Below are 10,856 nucleotides of genomic sequence, written 5' to 3' on the forward strand. Positions count from 1 at the left end.
GCATGAAGTAAAGATTATTGGGAAGCATAGATTTGCATGATGATGGAAAAGGGAAAGCCTAAAGCCACAGAAAATAGCTAATAAATTAATATACAGTGTGTTTACTGGAGTTGTATGCATTCTCACAAGAGGCATTCTTTCCCTACCAGTTGAATGTTCCTAGAAGGTCACATGCCAGTTAAACTCCACTATTTTGTCTTTTAGTGACCATGCTTGAGCCCACTTGTTCAACTCCTGAGATCTTATTAGGAAGCTGCTGAAAACATTTCAGGTGTTATTATCTATCAGGAGACTGCCTTTCCCTGGCACTGGCTGAGACGTATTGTATTTTATTGTATTGTATTGTATTGTATTGTATTGTATTGTATTGTATTGTATTGTATTGTATTGTATTGTATTGTATTGTATTGTATCGCATTTTTGGCAGAGCTAGCTGAGGCTTCATTTGGAAGAAAAAATTGTTTCATAGATGGAGGCATGGGCAGGGGGTACCCCAGGCAGCGAACTCCCCTGATGGGTAGGCCGAAGGCTAGGGCTGAGCCCAGTGAAGACCTTAGCCCTCAACCCACCCATGGTGGGAGGGACCGCCAGTGTCTGCCTCAGTTGGGTCTCCTGTTCCCTGTGCTCCGCTGAACAAGAGCCTCTGCCACAGGCTGTGGGGCAGCCACAGGATGGGGTAGGCTGGGAAGGGCTGCCATGGCCATTCTCTTGGGCAGGAGATCAGACGACTCAGAGCCAGTTTCCCACCGTGGGTCTCAATCTTCTTCACAACCACAGCCCTAGAGGAGCTGGTACTCCTGAAGAAGCAGGAGCCTGTGCCAGAGCCAAAGCTGGAGCCCAGGCCATAGCTAAGGCCAGGGCTTGTGAGGCCTCTGTAGACCAAGTTCAGCCTACCTGAGCAGACACTGGTGATCTTCGTATGGATACTCATGTTCTGCATCCCAGACTCCAGCTGGCTCTCCTCTCCCTCCAGCAGCTTCCTGTAGGTGGCGATCTCAATGTCCAGGGCCAGCATGACATTCATCAGCCCCTGGTATTCATGCAGCTGTGTGCCATGTCCTGCTTGGCTCACTGCAGGATGGCCTCCAGCTCCAACAGCTTGGTGGCCTTAACAGCCAGCTCCCCATGCTGCTTGGCCTCCATGACGACAGCTTCCAGGGAAGCCCCCTGGCCTTTGAGGCCCTCAGTCTCAGCCTGGAGCCCACTGATGTTGATACAGGATTTTTCTCGGCCACTTTGCCAATCAGAGACCTCTGGCTGGTGATGCCCCTGTTCAGGCATGGGCTCACCACAGGAGACAGACACCCTGTCTACTCAGCCAACCAGGCCATGCCTGGCTTGCATGCTGGCGTGGATCCCATGGCCACTGAGACTGTGCACTCAGCCCCTGGCAGGAGGGGGTGTATGAGCAAGAATGCAGGGTCTGGCCAGCTGCTCCAAGCAGGACTTGCAGCTGGACCAGGTGTGTCACAAACAACTCCTATGGTGGACTCTGGTGTCCAGGTGAGGGGAATGCAGTGGCACCCAAACCGGCGTGCCTGTGATCCCAAAACTCTAGATGGGGTGTTACAGCATGCTAATAGCTTCCTCCCATGGCTCTGGAACTGGCTTAAACCCGTCGCTGTTTCCCATTGTGTGGGATGGCTGCCCTCCGCCAGCAGAGGGCAAAGGGTCACAGTGTTACAGCCTTCTTTCTATGCACATTCAGTGAGTCCCAAGTTCTTGTCCCACATCCATAAAGAATGAGGTTATGCTGAAAATTGAAAGGTGAGGACTGTGGAGAAGAGTTTTATTAAGTGACGAAACAGCTCTTAGTGGAGAGGGTATGCAGGGTGGTCTCCCACCAGAAGTCAGGTGGTCAGTCTCCCCGTAGGGCTGGGTCCAGAGCTTTTATGAGCTCAGAATGGGGGAGTGCATGCTGATTGGTTTGTGAGTGTGCAAAAAATGCTAAAACAAAAGCTACAGTCAAAGGTGGGTACAATAGTGTAAAAAACAATTAGGGAAGAGTAGCTATATGTAAAATAGATGAAAGGTAGGGATCAAACAGAGGAAAGCATGCCAAATGGGAAAAGGTTCTCAATCTGGTCTGTGGACTTTCCAGGGACTTGTAGCTAGGCTTTAAACTGTGTTCAGCTTGAAACTTGGGTTTCACCAGGGACCAGCCCCTGTATTCCTAGGATTTGTCTGCCTCCTGCCACTAACAATGTTACAGCTCATCTCAGCGATGTCCATCTTTGTGTGACACAGCTCATCCCCATGCTTCTCAGCCAGCATCTGCAGCTCCTCATGCTTGATCTGGTACATGCGCTCAGCCTTGGCCAGGCTATGGTTGGCAATCTCCTCATACTGGGTCTTGACCTCAGCAATGATGCTGTCCATTTCCAGGGAGTGGCTGTTGTCCATAGACAGGACCACAGATGTGTATGAGATCTGGGAATGCAGCTCACAGAAAACCTCTTTATACATCTGCCTGCCTGAGAAACTTGATCTCATCAGTCAGCCCTTCCAGGAGAGATTCTAGCTCTACCTTGTTTATGCAAGTTTCATTCCACATCCTTCTTGATGAGGACAAATTCATTCTAAACCTCTGTATGTTTACTGATGTCACCCTCGTACTTATTATTCAAGTCCTTCAGCAGCCCCTGCATGTTGCCAAGCTCTGTCTCCAGCTTCAGCTTCTCCTGGCCCAGAGTGTCCCACTGCCTCCAAAGGTTGTTGATGTAGCTCTCAAGCATGTTGTCCATGTTGCTCTGGGCTGTCTTCTGCTGCTACAGGAGGCTCCACTGGTCTTCAGCATCTTCTGCTGCTGCTCCAGCAGTATACCTTGTCGATGAAGGAGGTAAACTTGTTGAGGGTGTTGATCTGCCCCTTCTCCTGGGTGTATGTGACCTGGATGTTGGAGTCCACCTTTGGCTTAAGGGGGCTCAGTAGGCTCTGGTTCACCATGATGGCTATGATACCCCCCATATCACTGGCCCCACCATAGTCTCCACCCAGACCCATGCCAGTTCCCTGCCCACCCTAGAAGCTGCTGCTACTACCCATTCAGGAGAAGTTCAAGGAGTTGTTCCAGGCCCACACATGTAGGAGTAGCTGCTGAAAACCTGGGGACCAGAGATGGACACCTTGTAGGACTTCTGGGTCACCCTGATGGACATGGTGAAGGCAAGAGTGGAGGCAGGCAGGCCAAACCAAGGGCAAATTTGAGGAGTGCAGAATCTGCTTCTAGGTACAATTATCATCTTAGAGAGAGAGTTATCAACCACCTGATGGTCGCCTGACATTCCTGGTTTTGTGGTGGGGGGGCCTCTCCTGCCCTGCTCATGTCTGACTAGCTGCCTACTGTTACAGAATGCCTAACCCAGCGATGCAAAATGCAAATACAGTGTCCTGTAGACCTGGTAACATAAGAACTTAAAATGGAGAAGAAAATTCTATAGTGAGCACAAAGACATCATATGCATATATCCCTTATGTTAAAATATGACTCTGAAAATAGGTATTCCTAACGGCACTGACCAGATGGCCCTGTTCAAATGCAAGTTGCCAATCTGAACCACATGAAGTACCAATGCAATGTTAAATCCATTTATTAGCAATGCAAATGTCAAGCTACCTCTGATTTTCCCAAAAGCAGGATAAACAAAATAAATGAGCCATTAGGAGGCACAGGTGAGATACTCAGGCTTCAAGAACCCTGCTTTGATTACTTTGAAAGGCAGATAAAGGCAGCATAACAAGTTTCCACTTGAACAGAGTGTGTTTATTCAGCTTGATGCAAGTCAGAGGAAATAGCCCTAATAGTTTTGAATTGCTATAAAAGGTTGTATGCACTTGTCAGATTTATGCATTTAGGCCATAAAAGCAAAAGAGTCTTACAGAGGCATTTTCTTAATTAAGCAATTCAGGTATAAATTCAAAGACAGAGAAGAAATGCAAGCTTCACATACACCAGAGCATGTGCCCAAAATGACCTTTCTCTTACTTTTACCCTAAGATTTCCTTTTCATCCTTCAACACTAGCTCAAATATTTCTGCCTCAAGTGAACTGTCTCCTGAACCCCTCTACCCATCACTTCTGCCAGCTAATGACTTCCAGCAACTTGTACATCCCTCCATTGGAACACTTTGCTTTATAATTATTTATTTAACTTCCTCTTCTTGTGTTCTGTGATGTCTTCGAAGGCAAAGATTGTATACTATTTGTGTCTCCAAACCTCAGAAGCTTTCACAGAAAAGATTCTAACAATGTATATTCACAACCAAAATCAAGAAAAAGAGATGATCCCTAATACTTTAGTTTGCTAGATTTTTGTTGAGCTCATAGTGATGCTTATAAATTTGACACTGTAATGCTAGATAAGTATTTTAAAGGGTAATTGTACAAAGAGGGTAAAATCATGACTCTCATGTGGATAGAAATTGAGCACTATTAAATATTTTATTTAACTATAAATTAGAGAATCAGGCAGATGTCACAACTTTTCAATGGAGAAGTAAAACAAGAATAAATGTGTATAGAGTAAACTTTCCTCAGTAAAGAAATGTTGAACTTAAATGATAAAACAATGCAACTGGCTTTTTTTCCATGAGAGGAGAATGGAGGAAAGTCAACTGAACCTCCCCACCAGACATAATTCATTTGCATTTCTAGGAACATGAATTATTTCGCATTGCTATCAGTTATCTACAATTTGCAAAGTTATAAAATACTGCAAAGGCTAGACTTAGATAACCTGGAAGTGCATTGCAATGAGTTTAATATTTGTGTACCTCCAAAATTCATATGTTGAAAACCTAACCCCAAGGTAATGGTATTTGAATGTAGAACCTTTGGGAAATAATTAAGTCATGAGAGTGGAGTCCCCATGAATGAGATTAGTGCCCTTATAAAAGGGACCCCAAAGAGCTCTTTCTACCATGTGAAGATACAAGAAGTCAGCCATCTACAACTAACAAAAGAGCTCTCCACAGAAACCTACATTACTGGCACCATGATCTTGGACTTCTAGCCTCCAGAACTGTGAAAAAATAAATTTCACTTGTTTGCAAGCCACTCTGTTTATGGTATCTTGTTATAGCAGTCCAAGCTGGTAAGACAAATCTGCTCTAATCTAAATAATGTATTGTTTTTCATAGGAGACATCCAATAATCTTTTTTATTTAGTTCAAATTTTCTTACACTGTGTCATCTTAAAGGTAGAGTGTGAGATCCTATGTTCTTTCATTGAAAGGTCAACGTATGATCAAAAATTGTTTTTGTCCATTTGTAAGACAATATTTCTAAACTCCTCTCAACATGTTGTTATATCATTAGCCCTTCCATAGTAATGAACCAATAACAACACAAACTAACATTTGGGAAATTACTTTTTGCCAAGTAGTGTGAAGAGTGCTTTATCTAAAGAATTTCTTTAATTCTCATGCCAACCTGATGAAGTAAAAATTTCATTATACTCATTTCATAGAATAGAAAACAGCATTAACAAAGCCTCTAAATCACACAACCGGCATGTGACAGACATGAATTCTAAGCAGAAAGCTCTATCTCTGCTGTCTAATATGGTAGCCAATAGTCACGTGGGGCTATTGGGACTTGAAATGTGGCCAACTCAAATTCTGATGTTCTGTAGGCAAAACCAGGCAATAAGTTTTTAAGACTTAGTACCATAAAAATATTTTGAAATTATAATGGTTTGGATGATTGAGTTAAATAAAATATATCATTAACTTTACCATCTGTTTCTTTTTACGTTTTAAAATGTGGCTACTAGAACATTTTAAATCACCTATGTGGCTCACATTATATTTTTATTGACTAGCCTACTCTCTTACTGGCAGACTTGAAGGACAGAAAATTGCCAAGAAAAATCAAACAAGCTCTCTTTTTAAAAAATGATATGATTAAAATATTTATGATATCAAAATATCCATCACTATTGTAGTGGACACATGTAATTAGCAGAGAATTTTCTGCATAACTTAAAGAATATTTTAATAGATTCACCCTCATACAAGAAGAGACAATACCACACTTAGTGATTCTCAAATGTCAGTAGTGTTTTTAACACCAAAGATGGTAGTCTAGGGTATGGAGTCATCATGACAGGGAGTAAAGCAGTACCCATACCTGATTTCAGGAGGCCTAGCTTCATGTTCTCAGTTCCACACTGACTTTAGCCGGTAACTACGTGAGTTGTAATTTTCTTATCTGTAAAAGGAAGACATTTAACCTTGAGATCTCTTCCAGCTGAAGAAGCTCTGTGAACATACTGATCTCCACCTGGTACCGTCTTCAAGATGATTTAGAACAGCTGTTCTCAGACTTGAGGCTTGGAGGTCATTATGCCATAGATTGCTGGGCCCTACCTCCAGGGTTTCGATTCAGTGGGTCCGGGGCAGAGCTGAGAATTTGCATTTCTAGTAAGTCCTTGGGATGTTGATGCTGCTGGTCTGGGGAATACACTTGGAGGATCACTGACTTAAAACAACATCACAGAGCCTCTCACATGAGGAGTCATAGGGGCTGCAGTAAGGGCAAAGTAGACTTCACCTACCTCCACTCAAAAGGTGAATTGAGTGTTTGACCTTTTTCAAGCCCTTTTATTGAGGATGATTCAAAGTTTTACATTCTCATTCAGAAAGGGGAGAGTTTAGACCAATAATGACTTTAATGATTTTTTTCCCTGCTAGCATTTGGCCTTAAAATAATTTTTTTTGAGAATTACACACTCTGAAGGGAAATGTCAGATTCTAAGTCGTATTTTTTTTAAATTGGTTGGTATTCTAGTGTAAGCTGTGTTGCATTTCTAAATATGGGTGGCGGGCAAAATCTCCACCAACAATGTTATGTAACAGACACACCCACACCTATATTTCTATTGATGATCTAATGTAGACTATTTATTTTCAAAGGATATATAATGATAAAAGGAATGCATTTCCCTTTTGCCATTTTAAAATTTTATTTACTTTTACATTATTATAAAGTATGTTTTGTGCTTTTTGGGGTAAAATCAGCTTGTTCTAGTTACATTTATAAAATTTAAAAGCTTCCCCTGTTCTCTTAATGTTTCAACATTTTCATTGCTTTGCATCTGGATATTTTTAGGACATAATGTGCAACTTTATGGTTCTATGAGAACACCAACTGGCTGTGCAAATATGTATTAAGGCAGTGGGAATTTGGGCTACCTTGTCCAGACGATGCTGACAGAAGCATTGTACACGTGAGATGGCAAATATGATTTTTAAAATAATAATGACAAAAGCATCTACCCAGTTGGAAAAATAATGTAGATTTCTTTATTGCTGTTCTTTGTTCTATTTTTGTTTTAATAAGTTCACCTAGATATTAGTGGAAGTGCTGTGGAAATCATGAGCCCTCTGTCTTAATTTCTTTTTTCAAAAAAACTTTAACTTAAATTATCTATTTAAAAAGCTTTGTATTTTTCTGTTAATTTTTCTTGAGGATTCTAATTAAGCCTCATCTCTGTGAGAAATAAAATTAGTAGATATTAATAGTATTCTTTTACAGATAAAAAAAGTTATAAAGTGTTGGTAAGTATTCTTACATCAAACTTACTGGTTTGAAATTATGAGGAAAATTACAAAGTCAATTACCCAGATGGTGTGATGTTGTCAAAACAATCAACAAGGAATGGTTTTGTTCCTATTCTTTGTCTGATGTTTGGTTTATGTGGATATAATCTATGTCTCTGGCATGATTAATACCATAGCCATTTTAATACTTATTTTTAAGTACAGAGCTTTCATGATTATTGTGCCCTATCCTCATCATTAATAATGGCCATCTGCACTTCCTTTCCTTTAATGAGTGGTGTGATTTTACTTTGTCATCAGTATGTTCTGGGAATAGCACTGTTACTGCTATACTCAGACAGAAAAGTGCCTGAGGTAATTATGGAACCCATCTGAAATTTCAAAATTAAAATATTTTCCTCACGCCTTGTAATATGCATTTCAAGCAAAAGCTCACCACCATTTCTAAATAATAAACGTTCAGGAAAGCATTTTTGCCAGATCAATGATTTTTTAAATCTGAAATGAGTAAAATCATAAAAAACCATTTGCTCTTCTAACTCTGTTCTTTTAATAGGTACCCCAATTAAAGATAAACTTTATTGCTATTTTTAAGATGCCCTCTGCTTTTCTTATTAAAATGTAAAGTAAACCTGGATTAAGGAGAAAAATGAACCATACTTTGCTAGATAGTAATACCTAATATCAGAGGACTAATGTCTACACATTTTGGTCATGTCTGCATAGTTCTCTAAAGGTTAACTGCTTCTTAATAGTCCGAAATCACTAAAAGCTAAATTTATGTTCTATAGTGCCAAATAATAATTTTGAGTCTGTATTTTTCGTTTTCTCAAGTTCTTAAATTTATATCATTAAACATAATAATTAAGGCATAAGTAGGCTAAAAAGCTTAAATTACTAACAGAAGCCACCAAAATCAGAACTACACTTTGAAGAACAGCCTACTGGGCTCTCTAATGTAAAGTCTGATAATATTCAGCCATTCTGACTTGTCAATCGAAGGGGGTTATAATGTAACTAATCTGATGTCATATCACACTCTATATCCCGAAGACATTGAACTGATTAAATGTGTTTACTATTATTATTGTTATGTATATTATCATTACACTTCTTAATAAAGACATCCGGTGTCTTTATGATGTGTCCTAGGCATCATAAACTGAGTGTATGATGTGTGTTGGGCAACAGACTATTTCCTATTTGAAGTTAGGCTCTAGAGACTTACATAGAATCGGAGAACAGAATTGGGAATCATGCATCCAGATAATTTAGAGAGCTTATAAAAATTGGCATGGTGTAATTCTAGTGTTTTATAGACAAAATCTATATCTCTGATTATGATTATAATTGTTGTCTTTATTACTCATTTTAAATATTCCTATCTCCCATGATAATATTCTATGATTCTGATTTGATAGGTCTGGAGTGGGGCCAAAGAGTTGATGGTTTCAAAAGCTCATCAGGTGATTCTGCTGTGCAGTTAATTTGTGAATGCTTTAATCATACAGGTGGGGATATTAAAGACCAGAAGATAAAGTGACTTAACCTCTTAGGGTTAAGAGGCAATTTACTTCCTCAGAACTTGTCAGTTTACTTCCTTGGAACTTCAAGATTTCTCAGACTTCAATATTTAAATGGAAATATTTTTAAGAAAGGTTGTGTCAAATAAAAGACAGTAAGATTAAGAAATTGGATATGTAACTAGAAAGAGTTGAGATTCCCAGGGTAACAAGGATAATAAGGAAATTAAATTTATTTTCACTTTTATTATTACCTTGGAAAGTACCAATGATCCAGGAGATAAGTAGAGAAAGGAGTCCTTGCCCGATTGTAAGAGTATAAAGATAAGAATAGGGATAATGTGGCCGGGCATGGTGGCTCACACCTGTAATCCCAGCACTTTGGGAGGCCAAGGTGGGTGGATCACCTGAGATCAGGAGTTCGAGACTAGCCTGGCCAACATGGCGAAACCCCGTCTCTACTAAAAATGCAAAAACTAGCAGGGAGTGGTGGGCACCTGTAACCCCAGCTACTTGAGAGGCTGAGACTGGAGAATCACTTGAATCTGGGAGGCAGAGGTTACAGTGAGCCGAAATTGCGCCACTACACTCCAGCCTGGGCAACAGAGGGAGACTCCATCCCAAAAAGAATAGGGATAAAGTAACTAAAGCTCTGAAAGTCTCAGCAACTTTCCCCAAATTACACAACTTTGTATCAGAGTTGTGTCCTAAATTCCAAGTCAGGACACCAAACCCCATATTCTGTCTGATGTTCAGTGTCCCATGATGGTCTAATTTCTCGTTTTACCCCAGGTGGACCTCTCTAGGGCAGAACATATGTTTCAGGAAAACCAAATTTTTAAATAGCACAATCAGTACCTGGCACAAATCCTAACATATAATAAGTACTCAAAATATATACATATTTGAAAAAATAATCCACAGTAGTTACAATTTTCCTATAATGTGTTAAGCTCAGATTCTTTTTCTGCTTATACCATCTTTTCTTCAATTAACTCTACTTTAAAATTATAACTGTTTTTGACAGCTTTATTTAACATGTGTGTATTTTGTTTAAAAGCAATCCTAATTTAGAAAACTAACAGTAGGCTAAACATAAGAATAAAGGAATAAAATGTTCTTTCTTGTATTTTTTGTTTGGTTTTTTTTTTTTTTTTGGCAGAATACGCAAAGTAATAGCAATCAATAACAGGGCAGAACTTCTGAAAAACCTCATGGAACTTCTTAGAATCCTTAGCCTTACATTCAATCCCTCCTCAGTCTGTCCCAGTGATGGTTTTTGTTTTCTTTTTTTCAAATTCCTTTATCAATGCTCTTCTCACACCTATGACATTCCCTTCACCAAATAATTGAGTGTCCCCATGTAGTTCCTGGTCTTTATTTTAACAATGTTCTTACATATTCTTGTTTGTTCTTTGAGTCGTCAGTGTTCAAATGCTATGTGTCTTTCAAAGCATATTTCAAACATCACTTCCCCCTTCCCCTCAGCGGGAACCATTCTCCTCCTCTTAAAATTTCAACTAACACTTTTATTTGCATGACATTCATAATTTAATTTCACCCTAAACTGTACTTATTTCTGGACATTGTCTCACTTACAGGACAATGCTTTGCCCAGTAGTCAATTATTCCATGAATAAATGACTGAATGGAAAATTGACCAGATTTGTTTTAAGTTTAGAATTCAATTTTAACTGTTTTCATTATTACTAAATATATTAGCACAAGCCCCATTTTTCCATGCCTACCAAAATGAAATTTTTAAGAGAC

At 39.7% G+C, this 10,856-nt stretch overlaps 1 pseudogene; it reads right to left on the minus strand.

Annotated features, from left to right (window-relative positions):
* KRT8P4 (keratin 8 pseudogene 4) lies at positions 597-3,231 on the minus strand (annotated as a pseudogene).

Source organism: Homo sapiens, chromosome 8, assembly GCF_000001405.40.
Source record: "Homo sapiens chromosome 8, GRCh38.p14 Primary Assembly".
Taxonomy (NCBI): domain Eukaryota; kingdom Metazoa; phylum Chordata; class Mammalia; order Primates; family Hominidae; genus Homo; species Homo sapiens.